Genomic DNA, 23,912 nt, shown 5'->3' with positions numbered 1-23,912 from the left:
TATATTTACAAAGAAACCTGTTGCAGTTTTTTATTGGGATTGTGTTAAATCTATAGGTCAGTTTGGAGAGAATGAACATGTTAATTATATTGAGCATGTTGCTCCATTTATATAGAGCTTTGATTTCTTTCATCTAGGTTTTGTAGTTTTCAGCCTACAAATCCTGTACCTATTTTGTGAGACTTACAGTTAAGTATTTACAGGTTAACATAACATTTTTATTAAAATAACTATGTTTTTCAAATCAAAGCAAATAAAGAATTTTACATTGTTTACACTGCTTTACATTTTTGCAAATCTCTTTAATGTCTGGCTTAATAAAAGATAATTGGATTCTCATACTTGGTTCTATATTCAATCTGTTGTTTATGTTGTTTTTGTTGAAATAAATGAAGAAAATCCAATCTCACATAGATATAGAGTTGGAAAGTGGAAGGGTATTTAAACGGCCTTTTCAGATAATTCTGGATCCTTTTTTAAATATTATGCTTAATCTTGAGAAGTGGCAGCTTATTGAAGGTTAGTCGCAATGTGGAATCAGAAACCATATTCATTAATTTTTTTGTATTGTGTTAATTTAAAATCTAATTAGACATTGGTCTATCTTGCACTCCGAAATGGGTCTTTTACACATGCCTAATTTTATACTATCATTCATCGATCATTTGGAAAATGTTGGCTCTCTAAGTTATAAATGACTTCCAAATGTTAACACATTTCATTATACAATACCAAAAACTACGTGTATTAATATCACCACTGGAAGTTCTAGCCAGAGCAAACAGGCAAGAGAAAGAAATAAAAGATATTCAAATAGGAAAAGAAGAAGTCAAACTATCTCTCTTCCCTAATGATATGATTCTATACCTAGAAGACCCTGAAAACTCTGCCAAAAGGCTCCTAGAATTGATAAACAACTCCAGTAAAGTTTCAGGATACAAAATCAATGTACAAAAATCAGTAGAAATCTATATGCCAATAACCTTCAAGCTGAGAGCAAAATCAGGAATGCAATCCCATCTACAATAACCACACATACACACAAAATCTAGGAATACATCTACCAAGGAGGTGAAAGATCTCTACAAGGAGTACAAAACACTTCTGAATGAAATCATAGATGACACAAACAAATGAAAAAACATTTCGTGCTCATGAATTAGAAGAATCAATATTGTTAAAATGGCCATATCACCCAAACTAATCTACAGATTCAATGCTATTCCTATCAAACTACCAATGCCATTTTTCACAGAACTAGAAAAAAGTATTATAAAATTCATATGGAACCAAAGAAGCGTCCAAACAGCCAAAGTAATCCTAAGCAAAAACAACAAAGCCACAGGCATCGTATTACTGGACTTCAAACTCCACTATAAGGCTATCGTAACCAAAACAGCATGGTACTTGTACAAGAAAAGTCACACAGATCAATGAAACAGAATAGAAAACCCAGAAATAAAGCCACACGCCTACTGGTATCTGATCTCTGACAAAGTCAACAAAAATAAGCAATGGGGAAAAGACTCCCTATTCAATAAATGGTTCTGGGATAGCTGGCTAGCCATATACAGAAGAATGAAACTGGACACGTACCTTTCACCATAGACAAAAATTAACTCAAGATAGAGTAAAGATTTAAATGTAAGACCTCAAACTGCAAAAATCCTACAAGAAAACCTAGGAAACACGATTCGGGACATCAGCCCTGGGAAAGAATTTATGACTAAGTCCTCAAAAGCAATTGCAACAAAAGCAAAAATTGACAAGTGGGACCTACCTAACTAAAGAGCTTCTGTACAGCAAAAGAAACTATCAAGAGAGTAAACAGACAACCTACAGAATGCGAGAAAACATTCACAGACTATACATCTGACAAAGGTCTAATATCCAGAATCAATAAGGGACTTAAACAATTGAACGAACAAAAAACAAATACCCCTATTAAAAAATGGACAAAAGACATGAGCAGACACATCTCAAAACAAGACATACAAGCAGCCAACAAACATGAAAAAGCGCTCCACGTCACTAATCACCAGAGAAATGCGAATCAAAACCACAATGAGACACCATCTCACACCAGTCAGAATGGCTACTATTAAAAAGTCAAAAAACAGCAAATGCTGGGGAGGCTGTGGAGAAAAGGGAACACTTATACACTGTTAGTGGGAAGGTAAATTAGTTCAGCTACTATGGAAAGAAGTTTAGCGATTTCTCAAAGAACTTAAAAACAGAACTACCATCACTGGGCATATATCCAAAAGAAACTAAACAGTTCTACCAAAAAGACACATGCACTTATATGTTCATTGCAGCACTATTCACAACAGCAAAGACATAAACTCAACCTAGGTGCCCCAAAACTTGGATTGGATAAAGAAAATGTGGTATATACGCACCATGGAATACTACACAGCCATGAAAAAGAACAAAAGTATGTCCTCTGCAGCAACATGGATGCAGCTGGAGGCCATTATCCTTAGCAAATTAATGCGGGAACAGAAAACCAAATACAGCATGTTCTCACTTATAAGGGGGAGCTAAACATTGGGTACTCACGAACATAAACAGGGCAACAGTAGACACTGGGGACTACTAAAGAGTGGGGGTGGAGTGGGGCAAGGCTTGAAAAACTAAGCATTGAGCACTATGCTCAGTACCTGGGTGGCGGGATCAATTGTACCCCAAACCTCAGCATTACACAACATATGCCTATAACAAACCTGTACATGTACCCCCTGAATCTAAAATAAAAGTTGAAATTATGAAAATATTTAATATAAAAAATAAATAAAATGTTCATCATGCTTAACCAAAAAAAAAATCACCACTGATCTCATCAGAAAAGTTTTTACAAATTGGGAAGCTGTCAAGCTCTTGATAAAGGATGTAGATTCTCTAAAATTCTAATTTTTATTTATTATTTATTTATTTATTTTTTGAGATGGAATCTCTCTCTTGTCGCCCAGGCTGGAGTACAATGATGCGATCTTGGCTCACTGCAACCTCTGCCTCCTGGGTTCAAGTGATTCTTGTGCCTCAGCCTCCCAAGTAGCTGGGATTACAGACATGCGCCACCACATCCGGCTGATTTTTGTATTTTTAGTAGAGATGGGGTTTCACCATGTTGGCCAGGCTGGTCTCAAACTCCTAATCTCAGGTGATCCACCCACCTCAGCCTCCCAAAGTGCTGGGATTACAGGCATGGGACCCCGCGTCCAGCCTGAAGATTCTAATTTTTAATTGAAAGCTTAAACTATATCATTAGTAACAAATATTGTTGTTTGTTTTCCCTGAGGCGATAAGCTCATTTTACTAATTTCTGAAAAATAATTGCCAGTTCTCAAGTCTGCATAATTATAATTTGTCTGTTGATCTTTATTCAAGTAAAAGTGGTGTTTCGTGAAAAAAGCAGTTAGCTTAGCATGCAGCTCAAAAATACGAGTCTTTTTCCTTGAGAGAAACTTGGCACTTTGGTATGTAGCAGAGATCCTCTATGCATGCTTCCCATTTTGTCACACTAAATATTAAAAAGACATGTGCTCAGGGTTGAAATTTAACCATATTAATAATTTTTAATAATAATTTTTGTGGCTTCTTCAAGGATGTTCTTAAGTGAAACTGGCAAGTATGTGGAGGTGAAGAACAGTCACTACAAGTACTGTGCAGGTTGGTGCCACTGTCTGATTCCTGCTGAGGAGACTCCGCCTTGCTCCTGTGCCATTGGTGCAGATGTCAACACAGTGAAAAAGACAAATGACATCATAGCATCATTATGAAAATAGTTTTGACCCTGCTGACTCCCTGAAAATGTCTCTGGCTCCCCGAGGAGTTCTCAGACCCTACTTTGAGGACTGCTACATTAGACCATACAAGACAAAAAAGCAAAATCCAGAGATATTGATTTGAACTCTACTTCCTGGAAATTCTACTGGAATCATATCTTTATCTCATCCTCACTACTTTTTCCGACTCTCAGGGAAAAGTGAACAATCTGTCATCTGAAGAGGCCTAAGTCTAGTCAGCTTTATGCTGTGATGTTGGGTCTTGTTGAAGAAGATGGATGAAAATCTAACTGCAGTTTAATAAAGAGCACAGTGGGTGGGAGAAAGAAGAGTGGTTGGGAATTTGGATTTTCTTAACTTCCTGGGTTTGATGCATCCCAGGTGAGCACTCAAATTCTAGTTAGAAACACTTCAATAATTCTCTCTGGGTTTCAGGAAGCATATCTGATATAGTCAATATCAGCGATGATGTCTGGATGGGTTCAGTTTTGTGGTTGGGAGTAGAGATCAGAATCCATCAGTTCCTCTCTGATAATCCCTCTAACTGGACTAATAGATGACCCAAATTCAATTGAATTCAACAAATTGTCACAGGCACTTATTAGTACCAAGAATTGTCTGAAACGCTGGGAACAGAGGCTGAGGTTGGGTTAGAGGACACACACCTATCGGTAATTCATCACAGTATTCACCTAGCTGGCCATTCCTACTCCGGTCTTTTTTTTTTTTTTTCTTGATTGTGTTTGTAATTTTGTAATTTAGTTCTCATTTTACGAGCATTTAAAAATAATCCAAACTGGCTAAGCACAGTGGCTCACACCTGTAATCTCAACACTTTGGAAGGCCAAGGTGGGAGAATCACTTTAGGTCAGAAGTTTGAGGCCAGCCTGGACATATTGAGACCTCATATCTACAAAAAAATTAAAAAATAGCCAGACATGGTGGTGCCTCCCAGCTACTTGGGAGGGTGAGGCAGGAAGATCTCTTGAGTCCTGGAATTCAAGATTGCAATGAGCTGTGATCCAACCACGGCCCTCCAGTCTCAGTGATAGAGGTCCTGTCTCTAAACCAAAACCAAAACCAAAAAAAAAAAAAAAAAGTCCTGAAAATTAAGAAAATAATATAAAATGTGCCATTTATGTATGCCAAGCATTGTACTATAAACTCATCACATTGTCACATACCTTATCTCAATCTCTCCAAACATTATGAGGTAGGTACTGTTACAAAAAAGAAAGTAATCAATCCCACCATCTAGAGGTAAATACAGTTAGCATTTTGATAAAATCTTTCTGGAACTTTTTCCATACATCCATAGATAGATGTCTACAGTTTTGTATTAATGGGATCATATTATACAGGTTGTTTTGTATCTTGATTTTTTTTCTCAGCTATATGAGATGAATACCTTCCCCATGAGGTTAGATATTACAAGTAGTCCTCCTTCATCTGAGAGGAATATGTTTAAAGCTCCCAGTAGATGCCTGAAACTGTGGCTAATACCAAACCCTATCTCTCTCTACCTCCATCTATCTATCGTCTATCTATCTATCTACCTATCTATCTACACACACTCTCTCTATATATATATATACACACACACACTCTCTCTCTCTCTCTCTATATATATATATATATATGTGTGTGTGTGTGTATACACATATATTTTTTTTTCCATACATATATACCTATGAAAAAGTTTAATTTATAAATTAGGCACAGTAAGAAATTAACAGCAATAACTAATAATAACATAGAAGAATTTAATAACATACTGCAATAAAAGTTATGTGAATGTGGTCTCTCTCTCTCAGAATATCTTATTGAACTGCTCTTACCCTTCTTGCTGTGATGAAGAAGGGACAGAGCCTGGTGGCACAAGGTTTCATCACACTACTCAGGATAGTGTACCATTTATAACTAAGGAATTGTTTATTTCTGGAATTTTTCATTTAGTATTTTCAGATCTTGGTTGAACACAGATAACTGAAACCATGAAAAATGAAATCATGGGCCAGTTACAGTGGCTCATGGCTATAATCCTAGCACTTTTGGAGGTGGAGGTGGAAGGAACACTTGAGCCTAGGAGTTCGAGACCAGGAGACCAGTCTAGGCAACACAGTGAGATCCTGTTTCTAAAAAAAAAAAAAAAAAAATTAAATTGTGGATTGGGGGGACTCCTGTACTTTCCTTTGTAATGGTTTCAGAATATTCCACGGTATGGATCTATCAGTTTACTTAATCCATAAGTGGACATCTAAGTAGGGTAGTTTCCTACATCTAAGTAGGGTAGTTTGCTAATAGTATTAATATAAACAATACTGCAATAAATTTCTTCGTGCATTCTCAAGCAATGATCTCCAGAAGGTAAATTCCTATAAATAGGATTGTTTACATTTCTATCCTAAATGCAAAACTGTTTTTTAGAAGAGTTGAATTCACTTCTATTCCTCCAATGATGTCTACTGTAGCTTCAAAGAACGCAAAAGGCTGACAGAAAAGTGCATGTGAATGTGTTCTTATATGGATACCTGTGTGTATATGTCAGCTTTCCACATGTGTGAGGGTTCATTTATTCATTTAACATTTTTGAGCATCTACCACATCTACCATGAGGCAGAGAGTCAGGGATTCAACTGTAACAAACTCAACATGACTCCAGCTCTGATGGAGTCAAACATATATCTTTTTAAAATAAAACAACTGCCATCAGTGCATGAAGAAAAATTATGTAAAGATATGACTGCCTGTACCAAGGGTCTGCCCTGGTCTGGTGATGATGTAGGGGAGATCAAGGAAGGCTTCTTTGAAATGGGAATATTAGAGCTAAGCTCTGAAGCACGAGAAGGCATTCACTAGATGAAGAGTAGGAGGAACCGTGTTCCAAGCAGAGAGAAAATTTTTATCTCTTGTTCCACCCTCAGCAGGAATATCTTGCCAAGCAAATCTACTGCCATTCCACACACACGAGCAGTCCTGCCTCTCCGCCTTTGTTCGCTCTTCTCCCAACTCTTTTTCCTCCCAAGGCAGGAGGCCTATGACTCAAAAAATGCAAAGAAGCCTGGAGAGGCTGGAGCCCAAAGAGAGAGTGGGAGAGTGAGGCCAGCAGGTACTGAAGATGTGCCTGATCTTGCGTGTCTGAGTGTGTACATGCAACGGTGCATGTGTGCACCTCTAAGCGCTGTTGGTAGGTGTACTGGTCACTGGCTATCAAGATACATTCCCCTGACCAGAAGTATAAACATTCCTTTGGGCTGGGCCCAGAGATCTGTGTTTTCACAAGCCTCTCAAGGTCTGTGAAGCATGCCCAAGTTTGAGAACCACTGGCCTGGAGGGCGTGTTTGTCTGATCGCACCTGTGTGCACGAGGCTTGGGGATATTTGACTTGCAGGTGGAGATTTGCATCTAGGCATCCTTGCGGCAGACAGCCCACTCTATCTCACTTGATTTTGTCCTCTCAGAGCACTCCTGAGGTTAGGGCAGGCACTCTGGGGCACTTAGCACATATTAAATGTTGATGGTAATGACAGCAGCCAGACGTGTCTCCAGCTGAGCCTCCGTTTCTTACCAGTCCCTGGGTAGAGCAGACACAAGTTGCCCTCCTTTTATCACCATAGAAATCTAATCTCAACTGTGCGGAAAGCAGGAGGTTCACACTGGGAGAGCAGGAGAAATGGCCGATTAGGAGTGGGAAAACATCCCGTACTTCTCTTAAGCAGATTGCAGGGACAAAGGAAACCATTTCTGCCCACCCCTGGCTGATGTCCCTGGGTGTGCAAAGAGAGACAGAGAGGGCAGGGGTAGGCGTCCAGATCTCAGCCCCACATGGGGCAGGGGTCAGAGATGGCCGGTGACTGAGAGAGGGAGTCCTTGTGTCACAGGATCAGGCATGGTGGACCCCCTGTGGAGCAGGATCTCCTCATGGGAAGAAGGCACCAGGAGTGCAGAATGCCTGAAGGCTGTGAGCCAAAGTCACATCTCCCCCAAACCAAATCCCAAGCAAGTACCTGCTTTGCAACCAGATTCCAGTCCTGGCTCTGCCACTTACCAACTGAGTGACTTTGGGAAAGTTGCTTCAACTCTGTCAGGCTCAGTCTCCTTGTCTCTGAAATGGGGATAACAATAAAATCTACATCCCAGGGCTGTTGTACAGATTAAATGAGATGACAAGTGTGAACTGATCAGTACCATGCCAGGCATATAGTAAATGCTCAGTTAAAGTTGGCTGCTGTGTTTGCGTTGCTTTCTTGAGGCCTCTCCTGCCCAGAGAGTTACATTTGGTCTTCTTGCTCCACTCCCTGAACCAACTCCATGATTTAAATTGGTATGGCCAGGGTCCTACAGACATGGGGATGGACCAATGGCTCTTTCTTTCCTCCTGGATCACTTAGTTTCTGGGCACCCTGTAAAGGCCTGAAGTAGTAGGCATATTCTCTGCCCCACAGTTTCTGATGGCTTGCATCTCTGCACCCACTATGACTTTACATCATAATGGTCTGCTGTGGGGTGAAGTTCGCCATAAAGAGAGTCATGGGTGAAATGGGGATAAGTAATGCCCAGCCTGCTACGTTGTCTAGGGATAAGGTGTGGGACATGCCCGGCTCCAGGCCTGGCACATAGTAGGTACATAATAGGTTGTTAAAGATTAAGTAGATTAAGTTCGATCTTGAGATGAATCAAAGTGGTGTGAGTTAGTATAAGAAAGTCAAGAGATGAATAGTTATTGAGCTATTATAGTTATAGTTATTATAATTATCAGCCTGCAGGTCCCACCCAAGTCATTCCTACCTCTGTGCCTCAGCTTGCCTGCCCCCACCCCAAACCCTCCTCCTCCTCCTTCACGGGTGGCTCTTCAGGGAGATGGCCTTGACCGGCCCCATCTCCGTTCTGATCCGTCTCTTACTCTGGATACCTTTGGTAGTAAATATAGTTATTATAATTATCATTGCCAGGCACCGCGGCAGGTATTTTACCTGTGTTATCTTCACGAATCTTCCTAATTACCCTATGAAAGAGGTGGTGAGTATCACTGATATAATCTTAACAGATGAGGAAACTGATGCTCAGAGAAGTTAAGTAACTTGTCCAAGACCAAAAGTAATTAAGTGGCAAGTCCTGGAATTCAATTAATGATTATTTGCGCTCATTCTGCTACCGCCCTACTGCCTTCCAAAAGACCCTCATTCTTTGGCATGGAAACTGCAGACAGCATTGTTGATCTCTCTGTTGAGCAAGAATTATTTGCCAAAGAAATAAATGTACCAACCTGGCTCATTTTGCCCACTCTGACCACAGGGTGAATTCTTCCTGCTACCTGACCTTGACCCTTCCTACAACAAGCAAAATCCCTTTTCTCTTGTTCAGTCCTCAGCAGGACAGCTGGGAAGATTTAAACAGCTTGCTCCATGACCAGTGGTTCTTCCGAGAATGGAAAACTAAAAATAAACTCTGTTGGGTGGCGTCTCCGAGGCCTCTTCCAATGACAAAGAGAGGCTGGACTTGGAGGGGAGGGGAAGGCAGAGAGCAGAATCTGGACAGCGGGTTCGGAAGCCCTCCGCCTCGCTGATTTAGTGCCTGGATCTGGTCCTCTTCAAGGCCCTGGTGAGATTTCTTATCAGCACAGTGGGGCCCAGGACGGCTGTGTTAAAGGCCCTCCCACTTGGGCGCCAGCCAGTCCTCTCCCCTCTCTGCTGGTGGACGAACCAAATAAGACAAACGGACTTCGTCTTATTTGGATGGAAACTTTGAAACCCCTGTTCCTTCCCAGTAGAACTTTCTGAACCTGCCAAGTAAGCAGCCTGCAGGTCCCACGCAAGTCCTTCCTACCTCTGTGCCTCAGCTTACCTGCCCCCACCCTAAACCCTCCTCTCCTCCTTCACGGGTGGCTCTTCAGGCAGACGGCCCTGACCGGTCCCATCCCCATTCTGATCCCTCTCTTACTCTGGATACCTTTGGTAGTTTCACCTTATTGGGGACATTAATAATCAGCACTCACAAATACATAGGTTAGCTAATATTTTTTAATGTTTTAAACATTTAGGAAATTCCGTGTTTTCTCACTCCTCGGTTAGGATGCAGAAATCACAAGGGATGGATGGGGCAAGGGAAGGGGGACTGAACCGATACTCAGGAGATCTTGCTCTGGTCCTGACTCAGCCACTGACAAGCTCTGTGTGACTCTGAGCAAGTCAGTTCCCCTCTGTGGGCCCTGGTCTCCCAGTTTGTAAAACATTCTCAAAGGTCTCATCCAGCTCATATATTCCATGGCTCGGTTTCCTTTGACTCACCTCGCCGTGTCTGGTTCAGGGCTTTGCACACAGAAATCTCTTATGCCCCACGTCTTCCAAGCTCTGCTTTTCTGAGGCTGCCTGGTCTCTCTTACCACGTGTCCCTGGCCCAGGCTGCTGTGGCTCAAGCTCACTGCATGTTCTAAGACTAATGCTCACTGTGTTGTCTGCGAGTCATGCATGAAGCAGCCCAGGGAAGAATTCAGTGGGAGCCTCAACTCATGGTCCCAGGGAGGACCTGCTAAAATACAGATGCTCAGGTCCCATCCCTGAAGAATCATGGGCTTGAGCTGGGGCCTTATCACCTTGCTTTAGTCATCTGCTGCTGCACAACAAAATGCCTCCCGATTTTGCATTTAAAAAAACAACCAACGAACTCGCTGATTTCTGAGGGTTAGGAATTAGGCAAGGCCCGGCTGTGTAGTCTCTGGTCAAGGTAGCTGGAGAGGCTGCCTTCAGCTGAGAGCTGGGTTGGGAATGTCCCAGAAGACTTCAGGTCTCTCCCCACATGGTCTCTCTCTCCCCAGTATGGTAGTCTGACTTCTTGTTTGTTTGTTTGTTTGTTTGTTTTTTGCTGGAGATGGAGTCTCATTCTGTCACCCAGGCTGGAGTACAGTGGCACAATCTTGGCTCACTGTAACCTCTGCCTCCCAGGTTCAAGCAATTCTGCTGCCTCAGCCTTCTGAGTACCTGGGACAACAGGAGCATGCGCCACACCCAGCTAATTTTTTTTCTATTTAAGTAGAGATGGGGTTTCACCGTGTTGCCCAGGCTGGTCTGGAACTCCTGAGCTCAGACAATCCGCCCGCCTTGGCCTCCCAAAGTGCTAGGATTACAGGCGTGAGCCACCGCGCCAGGCTAGTCTGACTTAAGAGGCAGCATTCAAACAGTGAAGGCAGAAGTTGCAGGTTTCTTAAGGCCCAGTTAAAAGTTATACAATGATAGGCCTGCCTCTTTCTGTTGCTCAGAACAAGTCACAGAGCCAGCCCAGATTGAAAGAGAGAGGAAACAGACCCCTCTCTCAGTGGAAGCAGTGGCAAAGCTTCATTGCAGAAGAGCACAAGGGAGGAGGACCTATTGCTGAGGCCATCTTTGGAAATATAACTGATCACAACTTTAAAAACACTTTCCAGATTAGTCTGATGTGCTCAAGGTCTGTGAACCACGTCCCGGGAAGTCTGGTCCCACCACCCCCTTTCTCCTTGCTGTCAGATGATGAGCAGCACCAGGCTGCCCCCAAGGCTGATGGGGGACTAATTATTGATGCATCTTGGTTTTCTCTGTCTATATCATTCCTATCTTTTGCATTCAACAAATATTCATCATACACCCATTATATTGACATGGGGGGAGGGGAGGGAGAGGGTTAAAAACACCAGCCAGACAGCTTTCCCATCCTCAGGTTACTTGCCATCTAAAAGTAAACAACTTAGCCAACTCTTGGGGCTGAGTCATTACATCCCTTCTCCTGATTCCTAATTAGAAAGTTCCAAGCTAAACTTAAGAAGATAACTGCGCATTCTCTTTTTAATAATGTGCCGGGAAGATGTGGAAGATGTGTTTTAGGGCTCTATAAATGTTTAATAATAAATAATAAGTGGCTGGAATAGTCAGTGTTTTACAGCCAGCACCTCCCACCGGCCATATCTAAGGTCCTTACAAGGTAAGAAAAGTAAAAATCAATAGAGGTAACATTTCAAATGGTGGACATCAAACATGCTTCTGGTCTGAGGAGCAATTACACTAACAGTATCATCAAAGAGATCATTAAATTACAGGAGGGTTGGGAGCGTGGAGAAGTCAATGGACCTAGGAGTCCATTAGAAACAGACAAGAGAGACAGTGCCTCTATGGCCACAGTGTTCTGCTGACCTGCCCAGCGCTCCACTTGGGCACCCAATGTCATCAGAAATGAGCTGCTTCCCCAAGAAAGGCCAGGCACAGCCCTGGGACGCCAGGCCTCTGGCCACTGTTATACCTTCCTTGGAAGAAATCCAAGTTTGTCTATAGGCACTGAATTTTCCCTACAGGGAAGGTCCTTTCTACCCTCCTGGCAGTTAGACTGCAGGCTTCATGTGACTTTTTCTCTTATAAACAAGTTCAATGATCTACCAGCCCCAAATCATTTTCATTGTTTGTCTAAACTCCAGTTCAGGCTTTGGGGTGGAGGTGGGAGTGGGAGGTTCCAAAGAGAATAAGTGGATTCAAATCAGTCTTATTTGCCCAGTAGACATGATTGGGCTAGTGGGTTATTGTCTAGTTGCAAAGCTGTTCTCCAGACTGAATGGAGGTGGCTACTGGGTCCCTACAATTCCTCCTTGCTTAAAAACTCAGCTACAGCCTCTGTTCTGAGCCTGGAGCCAGTGGGCTGGAAGAAAGTATATGATAAACAGGTGCCTCTCCCCACGAACGCTGGCTCCAAGCACTCAGGGAGGGGCGGGGAGTTCAGGCGCCTGCTTATGCTAACAGGCTGTCAGCTTCTCGGTGCAACAGGAAAGCAGAAATATGAAGCTATTCTGGTCTTGTCTAGGGAGCCATTATGTCTTGAATTTCCAATGTCATTATCTCCAAAGGGCAACATTGCTCCGTTTTTCTCCCATTTGCATTCACTGGGAAAAGACAAATGGGTGCATATTTGCAGAGAGGAGGGGCTTGGGGGAGGAGTGGTCATGTGCTCCGATTTGGATCACCAACAGCTTCTGGAAGATGCGTGTTCATAATTAGAGATCCGCACCTCGAGGTGACATTTCACACTTAACAGACAAGTTTAAGTTAATCAGGCAGCAATTGGTTCTCTAGACTAATGGGATTGGGGTGGATTTTTCACTTAGAAACAAATCTCATTCGTGTCTTGGCATGCCTAGAATAATGCTTTTTCCTTACATATGTTATGGTTTTCCTGCGGGAAGACAGAGTGAAATTTTATTTCAGACTTCCCTCACTCTGACTGCCTTTGCTTTCTCCCTTTCCCCAAAATCAAGATCCTGATATAAAGGTATCTAAGTAAGGAAACGGACTGTGCAGGACCCATTCTATGAAGAGGGATGCCGGTGTTTATTCTTCTGATGTGTGGGTACGTGTCAGGTGTGTGTTACTGGGCTGCAAGTGGCAGGTCAAGCACTTTTAGAGGAGAAGGACTTGTGCTGAATTTCTGCTTTCTCAGGATGAAAGCCTGTCCTCCCCAGCTGTTCCAACCCACGTACATCAGTTAGGCTTGTATTGGCTGTATGGAACAGAAAACCAGCTACAGTCACTTTATGTAATAGGAGTTGAATTTGCTCACATAACAAGGAATCTGGGATGAAGCCATTCAGATGTTGTTGACGGCTCTTACAGCTTCTTGTCCTGCCATCCTTACTCAAATACTTATTTTCTTCATGGTTGCAAAATGGCTGCTTCATCTCCAGGCATCACATCCATGTTTCTGACAAAGAAGAAGAATGAGGAGGAGGAAGACAGGAAAGAACAAAGGGCGGAGGGCAAAAGAAACATACCACTGTATTTTTCTTGGAGCAATGCTGTTCTAATCTCCTTGGCCAGAACTGGGTCATATGGACACCCAGAGTTGCAAAGGAGTCTGAGAAAATGAGTAGTTTGAGCATACTGCTGCTCAGTTAGAAAAAATGTTCTGACAGAAAGGAAAAAGAAGAGAACCGAAGTTGGCTAGGGACCGAGCAGTGTCTGCCACCCTATCCCGACAGCTCTGTGAGTAGTCAGGGAATACCTGCTTTTCATCCCCCAGGTCAGTGCGATGGTTACCTGCTCCTCCTCTGGAGGCAGTCTGGCCTGGGAGGTCCCCAGGACTCACCATTCAGGAGAAGGCCTTCATTTGAAATGATCACAGCCCTGTGAGGCTCACTATCCATCTCTCCTCTGGCTGTGGCCTCGAGCACCAACTACTTCCTCTCTTCATCTTGGCAAGAGAAAGCAAAGCTAATGAATTTCACAAGTGTGGTCTAGGCACAGGGTATCAGCACTCAGGGAACCAATTCTGAAGACTCTCTGAAGACTTACGGCTAAGACCTTTGGTTAAGGCAGGAGGTTGCTGGCTGGAGATCAAAATGAATGTGGAGAAGTTGGTTGGAGCAAGACCAGGCAGAGTCCTTCAAGTCAACAACTACAATTCACTTAAATTCAACAAGTTATAAGTGGGTCACCACACATGATAGTGGGGTCTATAAGTGGAGTGAGAGGCCAGGTCTGACCTTAAGGAGTTCTCATTCTATTAGGGCAGCAGACACATGCAAGTAAACATAGCAAAGTTCAGGCTATGATAAGTGCAATTATAGACGTAGAGACACAATGCTGTTAATTACAGCATGGATAAGACAGCTTTCATTTTTAATAAGGTAATATTTGAATTTAACTTTGCAGCATAGGTAGAATTCTTGTAAGTAGAGAAAATAGGCAGAGGATGTAGAGGCAGAGGATGTTTCAAGCAGAGAAAACTATGTAAACAAAGATTTGGGGGTAGGAATCAGGCAGCGTATGTGGATAACTGTGCACGGCTCTTTTGGTCTGGGACACGACATTTACAAGGATTGGAGTGATGAGGGTGATGGGGGGAAATAGGGCAGGGAATGGGTCACGAGATGAAGCAGGAGAGGCAGGTGGGTGTCAGGTTGTAAAGGCTGAATGTCGTGTTAAGAATTTTGACTTTAACTCGTAGAAAATACGGAGCCATTGAAGTTTTGAATCGCATTTGTATTGGGGAAGATAACTCTACCTAGAGGTAGGGGGACTGTGGCAGAGTCACCAGTGAGAATCTGATGCCAGAGACCTGACCTAGAACAGGAGTGGTGGGCAGGAAAGGAGGCACTGGGGGAGAGGTCTGAGCGTGGCATGTGTTCTGCAGGGTAACTGGATTGGGGGCAGTGCCATTCATGAATTCAAAGAAGACATGAGAGGGAACGGCTTCAAGCCGTGAGAGGATGGATAGGGAGTGGACTGGGAGGATGGATTGGGAGTGGGCGGTGCTGACTCCCTGGGATTACTTGCCTGGGTCTCCTGGGGAGAGGACCGGGCTGGATATTGTGGACTCATCAAGCCTAAGCGGGTGGTAAAACCCTGGTTGTGGATTTAGATTGTCTAGCAACTGCATAAGATGACCAAGGACTCAACACAGCTGCTTGAGGGAGAAGTTGGAGGAGTTTGACAAAGAAAGGTTGGAGAGAGAGGAAGGGACCCAGGATCAAGGAGTGGTTTGGAAGTGAGCAGAGCTGTTTCAGCCAAGGAGCTAGGAAACGATTCTGTCCTAGGGGTTGGGGGTTTGGCATTTGGCTGAGTGGGGAGGACACACATTCACACCTGTGCAAAGCCAAGTGGGTATGCATGGACACAAAGTAGCAGTCAGTGGGCAAGATCGGCTCCCTTCTGCAGCCCCACCCCAGGATGAAGTGGCACCCCACTAGAAGGGATGCCTGCTAGGAGGGGTGAGGGTCTCTTCTAAGACTCCTGGTCTCTCCCCTTTAACTTCCCCTTTAGGCCCTCCATGTCCGGTGTGACCAGGACACAGGAGGTCACTCTGTGACCTGTCCGTGGCTGTGTGACCAGGGCACTGACATGCGGAAGGGCTATTTTGCTGCAATACAAGGGGACCAGGGCAAGTCCTCTCCAGATGGGATTTTAGCTGCACATTTGTGAGTTACTTAGCCCAGAGCAAGCTTCAAAGCATAGAGCAGTCCCTGATGCTCCCAGCAGTTATGCTGTCCTCTCCAGCTCCAGGTCTTCCCATGGTTCCAGTTCTGGCGGGTGGGGAGTATTTCAGGAATGGTTTCCACCCTTTCTTACCCTACTTTCTCCATGGCTGCGCAGCCCTGCCCTGGATCTTTTTTTGTTCTTTGGGCTTGTAAAGAAGCAGGATTCTTTAGTGGGGATCAGGCTTATTTCTCAGCTTCATGTTAGTGCTGCCCCCACACAGCCCCCTGAACCCTGACTTGCAGGGTCCACCAGGAACATCCCAACCCAACCTCTCACCAATTCTTGCTCAGAACAGTTTTCATGATGCCCATCAGTGCTTCCCAGGATAAAAGCTGGAATCACCAGGAATTGTTGGGCCAGTCCCACCCTGGCTCCTTTCACACCATGCCCCTTCTGCCTCAGGGCCTTTGCACATACTGCTTCTGTTCCAGAGGCAGAATCATCTTCCCACCCTGACATCCCAATTCTTGGCTCCTTTACCTCATCTTCTTAACATCTCCTGACCTTTCTCAAATGCTATATCTTCAGGGCTCTGAACTGTGTTTTAATTACACGTTTATTCATGGGAACATTTGCTAAATCTCTATCTCACCCAGGGACCACATCTTTCCTCTCCACAGTATATCCTCAGATCTTGGCCCAGGTCTCAGTGAAGAGTAGCTCCTCCTGTCCATACGTGGTTGAAAGAATGGAACAGCTGGCGACCTCTTTTTATGAATGCCCACATTTTTCACAGGGGGTAGATGTGTTTATTTTCCTGCTAGAAGGGAGATGTGACTCACCCCAGAACAAGCTTGCGTGCTGCTTTGTAGCTGTAACACCCCAAATTCTTCCAGCAGTACCCTTGGATGGAACGTGATGAAGCACTATTTGAGAGTTAAGCCATGGCGGTTTCTCATGCACATTTAGTTCCTGTTATCCCTCTGCAGCCTGGGCTGGTCAGCATTAGGTAGGGGGACCTGGGAAGTCACTGGGCCAAACACTTCAGAACTCTCTGGCTGGAAATGGGGTTGAACCAGAAGGTGGCTTGGCTTTGGAGTTCTGAACTATCCTTTCCCAAATAGGCTTGCAAAGCCTGGGCTTGACGTGTCATCACTAGTAGGTGCTCTAAAAAGCACAGAGAGATGGCCAAAAGGCAGGATTCAAGGGCATTTGGAGGGATGAATGTACCTGCCTAAGGACATGGGCCTAGAAAGGGATGTGGTTTTAAATCTGCCACCTAGAATACATGAAAAGGGAAAACGACAGTTGGAATGCTGTCCTCAGTTTATAGAGGAAAAGACAGGAACGGCAAAGGGTTAGGCACGCAAATAGGCAAGATTTGAGTCTGGCTTTGGAGAAGGAGCTTTAGCATTCACAGGAACCCCAGGGAGTTCAGGACTGGGCCAGAGTGGCATCCATTCAGCCAGGTCCCATGATTAAGGGGCCAGAACTATCCCCTGAGGGGAGGCTTTTTGGGTGCTCTTTCTCAGTAGCTATTTATGGTTCCCCTACTGGTTCCAAAGTCTTCTTGAGTTCATGTATATTTCCTGCCTTGGGGTTTTGAGACCTGACCTTTTATTAAAATAATTAGATCATCTAGGGCAGAGCTGGAAGAGACCTCAGGATCATCTAGTCCATCTCCCTATTTTCCCAAATGAGAAAACAGGCCCAGAACTGAGGGCAGCAGAGGCAGGGCTAGGTTTCTTCCTAGCAGTACCCATCATCCCCGGCTTGGGGTTTGTAAGGAACTCTCCGTGGCCCTACCTAGGCTTGGACAATCACAGCCTTTCTCAGTAGCTCCTCCCTCCACCCGGCTCGGCCATACACACACCTTGACTGAGGCTGGACAGCCTCCATCTCAGCATGGCTCCTGGCTACTGACACTTGTGCCTGGCCTCTGCCCCTTCCTACAAGCTCTGCCCCTAATAGTAAGAGCCAATTTCTTGAGCACTCACTATGAGCTAAGCCTCCCATGGGGTCAGTCTCTAATCACCATTTTCCCACGTGAGGAAATAGACTCAGGAGCTGAGTGCAGAGATATGCTCCAAGTCGCGTCACAGGCAGGGTTGCCGAGCCAGGATTTATTTACATCTTCACATTCAAAGTTCGTCATCATGAATTTTGACTCTTGGGGACTGGGCTGAGGACGGGGTGGTACTGCTCCTGGCAGGGCCAGAGGTGGATGGGGCTTGAAAAGGGGGTTCAAGGCAGCAGATCTATGGTTCAGGTAAGGACCATCCCCCCAGCTCCCCACCTGGCTCTAGCTGAAAATGACAACTACAACTGGAGCTGGCTCCTGCGCCCACGACACAGCCATTCATGCTTTTGGTGCACATTCCCCTTAATTACCAAGGCTCCCAATTAACGTGGGCTGCTGTGTCTGGTGCTGGGTTATTTTCTCCTATTTTTCCGTTCCTCGGGGTTTACTATTGCAGAGAGACACCAGGTCTGTCATTGTGCCTGTCTTGCTCCCTTCCCACCCTAACCAGAGGGAAACCGAAAAGCAACAGCTGATGGCAAATCCGCTCCGGCGCTTGCACGCCTCCTCGGCGGCAGTCTCCTGTTGCTTCTCGGAGCTTGACTGCCCTTTGGAAAAATCTCTCCGCCCCTCGAGAGGAGAGAGGAGCAGAGGACGCGCGCGAGCACAGAGCGGGAGGACGGACAGGGAGAGGAGGAGAGGGGGTCTGCGCGCGGCCGCTACCCAGAAGCCAGCGGACGGCAGCACGGAGTGGGCTGTCCCCGAGCCCAGCCCCGAGCGAGCCCCCCCCCCGCCCCCGCAGGACGCGCCTCCCAGCCAGCCCGACTCCTAGGAGGAGGGGAGGCGGGAAAGCAGCTCAAGCCTCACCCACCGCCCTGCCCCCAGCCCCGCCACTCCCAGGCTCCTCGGGACTCGGCGGGTCCTCCTGGGAGTCTCGGAGGGGACCGGCTGTGCAGGTAGGCGGCTGGGGAGGTGGGCAAAGTTGGCTCCTTTTTCCGAGGAGGGGCGAGGCTCGGTGGGGACCGATCTCTGGAGCGCCGGGAGCGCCGGGTTTTGTGTGTTCAGTGGGTGTGTGCGGTCCTCCGCGGTCAGCTGCGCCGCGGTCCCCGCCTGGGCAGCGGGAAACCGGGCTGGGGATGTAAACAAGGAGATCGGCGTCGGAAGAGAGAGGAGCCTCTAGGGGAGGCAGGCTGTGGCGCTGGGGGTGACGCTGGTGGCTGGGAATTGCTCTCGGTGCTGCCTTGAGCTTGGGGTCAGGGTTTTCAGGAGAAGGGGAAAGGGCTGCGCCCACCCTTTATCCATGAGGAGTTTTCCCTTTGTTACTTGGAAGCTGTGGACACTTGGTGGAGCGTGGGGAATTACGGACGAGGGCGTGTGGCTGGGTGTGAGTGTGGACTTATGAGCGACACAAAATGGAACTTGCTGGTTTGGTGCTTGGGGAAGGTGGGGCTGGGCAGTGGGCACAGGATGGGGGCGCAGGGAAAGAAGGATTCTAGCGCTCGGGGATTCATGAGAGTGCATCATTTTTTCCCTCCTTCTTGTCTTATCCATCCAATCCTGTTTCCTTTCCGGGGGGCCCTGGGGTCCGCCATTGCCCCCTTTCCCCAGCAGGGCTGGCCCTGGCAGAGCCTCCCCTATTGTGTCTCCCGGGCTTCCGTGGAGAGTTGGGTGTGCAGCCTGGAGCTCCCAGCGCTGGCTTCTGGCTCTTACAAGTGGTGGCTGGTAGAGGAGGCACCCGAGGGTGGGAGCTGGGAGCAGCCTCGCTGGAAACATGGGTCTGCCGCGTCACCTGCTGCAAGCCTGCACGCTCGCGGGACCGTGGCTACTGGAGGCTTCTCCCCACCAGTGTGCTCTCTGCCACTACTTCCTTTGTCTCTGTGGCTTCGTGCTGTCTGGCTGGGCTAAGATTTCCAGCTTTGAAGATGGATCAGTGGGCATCTCAGGCCCTCTCTGAAAGGAGCCCCCTTTGGGGATCCAGCCACCCTCATATTATGGATGTGTATGTCTACGTCCGCAACTTAGCCTTTTGCACGTGACTTGCCTGGTCGTTGCCATGGAAACTCCTCCATTTCTCAGCCTCCCTCTTTCTCCTGCCCATTCCTCACCTCCATATCTCCTCCCCTCCCCCCAGTATGGTTGCCTAGATACTGGTTATCCCTGGCTAGGAGACCTAGATATCTGGCTCCTACACCCAATTGCAGTGGCCCCTTACTCACACCACCCACTTCACACACACTGCACATCACCAACACCACAAACACATACAGACATATACCACACTACGCAATCAACACACCCTCACACTCACACCACACATACATATACATCATACCTATACACACATACACACCAAACACACCGCATATATACCGCACCACCACACACCAGCTACAATGCTACACTGACACCCTACATGCGCACTGTGCATGCACACACACACACACAGTACATCTAAATAAGTCTCAGGCTGGGCTGAGGCAGGGGAGAGAGAGGGCAGTTTCCTTCCTTATCCAGCCACCTCCCTAGGGGTGTGGAGGGGAAGAGATGGAGGCTCAGGAAGCCCAGAAGGAAAACCCTAACATCTCCCTGGGAACCCTGCAGAGGAAGGTGGAGGGAAAGGCACTGCCAGATTCCCTCAAAAGAGGAGCCCCTTCCCTAAACCTGGAAGGGAAGGTTGGATAAAGAGTGGGCGCAGCCCTTTTCCCTCCTCCTCAAAGCCCCAGTCCGGAGCTCCAGGTGTTAACGAGAGCCATTCCCAGGTGCTGGGCTCCAGAAGCTGGGCACTGACCAGAATTTCAATCTCTCCACTGCCGCTGCTCTTTTCCCTGACCCAGAGAAAGCCTGAGGCTCTGGGAGTCATCCTCACCAGCAGAGGATCAGGCCAGCTCTGGGACCATCGGAGGCTCTGAGCCCTAACAAAGGAGAGAAGGAAAAGTGGTTACTGTCCCAGGAAAGCCAAGGAGGCCAGGCCAGGGAGGCAGGAAGGGGAGGGAAACCAGAAAGAGGGAAGGAGAGGGGCCACAGGAGTCAAGAAAGCGAAAGTTAGGGCTACCCGCCGTTGCCTGGGGTTCAGGCCACCCTCTCTTCCTGGCACGTTTTCCTGCTTCCCCCCTGGCTCCTCCAAACAGATCTGTGCATCTAGGAGAGGAAGCGGGTGTGCAAAGGGCTCTAGGCTTGCCAGGGTTCTCCCAAGACGTGTGGCTTCTATGGTTGACAGACGGTAGGCGCCTGGGGGAAGCGTTTCCTTCCTGGCTTCCATCGGATCTTCAGACTGACCTGAGGACCGATTTCATTCAATCATTCAAAGAACTGTTTTAAGTGTCTACTGTGTATTAATTGCTGGGGACATGAAGGTGAGGAGGGAGACACAATCCCTGACATCGGAATCCTAGGTTTCTCAGAGCCGGAAGAGGCCTTGAGGGAGCATCCAGTGGGAACACAGTGGGGGAAACTGAGGCTCAGCAGTCACGTGGCCAGTAGTCGCTGAGGCCTTCTAACTCCTCGGCCAGGATTTTGGCCTTCACACTGCCTGTCCTGCAACCCTTGCTTTCTTTTCTCAGTCACCATCAGAGATGGTGGGTTGATGGAAACCTATGGAGGGAGAGCCTTTGGTCGGCTGGTGACTGGGACGCCCTTCCAAAGTGAGGGTCCCTTAGTGGGCGGGTACAACCGAGGAGCCTGCTTCACTATGTTTTCTTGGAAGGCGAGGCTGGAAGCTGTGGCAAGGAGATGGGGGAGAAAGGGCAGTTTCCTAGACCCTGGAAATTTCCCGACAGCCTCGGGGGAGTCCACCCACCGAAATCTCCCCTAAATAAGAGCACCTCCTCTCTTCCTCCCAACCTTGTTGGACTTAGTCGGCCGCCATCTGGATGGCAGACTGTGCCAGGCAGCCCCCCAATATTCACCTTCGAACAAATCACCTTCTGAGCACCCTAAGGGAAGCAAACCAGTCAAGAAAGGCACAGCCCCAAGGAGGCAGGGAGCCTGCTGTGGAAAGGCCGGGTTCTAGCCCCAGCTCTCCCCCTGAGCTTCCGTGCTACCGAAAGGCAAATGCGTTCATTGCACAAATATCCCTTTGGATGCAAACTGGGCTTCTGGTGAAATCCAGAAATGGCTTGGACTGCTCTTCAGCAACTGAAAGCCTTTCGGATTTTAGACCTTTGTTTCCGCATCTGTCAATAGTGGGGTTTAGACTCATGATTTCCAAGGCATGTCTTCCTCTAAATTTGTGTGGATTATACAATCTTGAAAGAGATCCCTTTTCTCTCCAGGTACCAAATAGTACTCATTATTTCATAATACAGGGCTGCAGCTGAGCTGAGCTGAGCAGGAAGGGGCTGGGCTCTGGTTACCCTGGAGAAAGTTTCCTTTTCACCCAGTGTGGCAGAAGGTGCCCTAGAAGCTGAAACCAAGTTTTTTTCTTTAGGGCTGAGGGAGCCACCTCCTCCTGGATGCTGTGGTCTACCTGGCCTTTTCTACCAGGCTGCACACTGGAGGCGGGCGGCGGTTGGGGGGGGTTCTTTAAAGAGTTGTTCTCTGGAAGAGACAACTGGAGAGGACTGGGCTGTCATTTTGGAGGTCCATGAAATCTTCTGCAGGGAGAACCCCTGGCCAGCTGGAGAGTTGCAACGAGAGGGGCCGGTCGGGAACACAGTGCTCTGACACCGTCCCTGATGAGAGGCAGGACATCTCCGGCCGAAACAAAAGCATGGAACCAATTTGGCAGCATCATCTCTGCTCCAGAATCCGGGGAGGGAGAGGTCCCGACCTGGGAAGGGATGAAGCCAGCTTGTAGGCTGCGCAGGAACATGTTTGTTACAAAGATGTGGGAGGGAGCACACAGCCTGGGAAAGGGGCTGGGCCCCCACGGACCAGGCTGGGGCCATGGGAATGGGGCTGCCCCAGCTCAGAATATCTGATGTGGGCAGAGAGGGCCAAGGATGAAGGGGTGTAGTTAGAATAACAGTGACCCCCACGCAGCTGGAGGACAAAGCCAGGCCCACACTGAGAGACCAGAGGCTAAGGTTTCAAACTCCCTCGTTCATCCTTTTAATAAATGTTCCCCTCATATGTCAGGCAGGCCCTGTGGGCTTCTGAGGTTTCTCCTTTGCTGGAGCCCTCCTGCTCAGGTAGATCAATGGGCTTGTCCTGTTCCTTCCTCTCCCCTACTGTCCACCTCATGTCCACATCCTACCAGGAGGCCCTGCGACTTTCTTCCTCCATAGGAAGAGCCCCTCCATGCAATCACGGGTGCACTTACACTCTCACACACGTTCCCTTCCTCACACATATATAATCTCCCACACCCGACAGGGAGGCAGTGGCTCACACATTCTCACACGCCCTGTCACCTCTCCCGAAGAGCTGCAGTCTCTCAGACCATGGTGATGGCCTGTGAACGTCCACCCTCTCAGCCCATTCCATTTTACCCACTGATGTTACAGCTCAGGTCCAGGTTTGCCACTCCTCTGCTCAAAAACCTCCCCAGGCTCACCAGTGCCTATTAATAAGCACAGGTACATGGTGTAGGCACTCCAGGCTCAGCGTGACCTGGCTGCAGCCACCTCTGCAGGCACCTTCTCCAGATGGTCATCCGAAGCCTGGTACTGTCTCACCCTCTGCCTGAGCTCAAGCCGTTGCTGGAATGTGCCGAGTAGAGGGTGGCAGTCTTTGTAGACACACAAACTTGGATTCTAAACTGCATTCTGATGCTTCCTGGATTTCTTCACTTTGCTAAACCTCAGTTTCCTTACCTGTCAAATGAGTGTGAGGACAGTATGAGGCGAGCTGTGTAAAGGGCTCAGCATGCTGCCTAGCATGGAGTAAACACTCAGGAGATATCAGCTGCTGTAATAATGATAGTAATGACACATTATTAGGATTATTAGAATGGCATTATTATTGTTATATCATCCTTCGTGGCTCCTCCCAAGTGTTTATTCTTTCAAGTAATTATTCCATATTCCCAATAAACAGGCATTAAAATTCCCAATAAACATACTCATATACCGTGAATGTCCTGTCAGTTCTTCCTTGAGAGCACACACCTGCATTTTAGCTGCAGAGGGACACGCCCCGCCTCCCACCCCGCCCGCTCCACTGCACCGCCTCTCAATGGCAGGTCTGTTCTCCCCACGGTGCCTGGCACAGTGTCAGACACGTGGAGAAAGCCCAGTG

General features: G+C 47.1%; 2 protein-coding genes across 7 annotated transcripts in view; both read left to right on the top strand.

The window, feature by feature from the left end:
* Positions 17,853–23,912, top strand: part of FXYD6 (FXYD domain containing ion transport regulator 6) — a 40,450-nt gene continuing 34,390 nt past the window's right edge. For 4 of the 5 annotated variants that reach the window (NM_022003.4, NM_001164832.3, NM_001164837.3 and 1 more), the window contains exon 1: positions 18,625–18,691. The gene's annotated coding sequence lies outside the window, so the exon portion shown is untranslated. Of the gene's footprint in view, positions 17,985–18,624; positions 18,692–23,912 lie in introns of those variants that run through there. The other variant, NM_001164831.3, reaches the window with a different exon arrangement.
* The window catches only part of FXYD6-FXYD2 (FXYD6-FXYD2 readthrough), a 56,602-nt gene continuing 51,314 nt past the window's right edge, over positions 18,625–23,912 (top strand). For both annotated transcript variants that reach the window (NM_001243598.4, NM_001204268.3), the window contains exon 1: positions 18,625–18,691. The gene's annotated coding sequence lies outside the window, so the exon portion shown is untranslated. The remainder of the gene's footprint in view (positions 18,692–23,912) is intronic.

The sequence above is a fragment of the Homo sapiens genome, chromosome 11 (genome assembly GCF_000001405.40).
Source record: "Homo sapiens chromosome 11, GRCh38.p14 Primary Assembly".
NCBI classification, from domain to species: Eukaryota; Metazoa; Chordata; class Mammalia; order Primates; family Hominidae; genus Homo; species Homo sapiens.
This window is presented reverse-complemented; position numbering and strand designations above follow the sequence as displayed.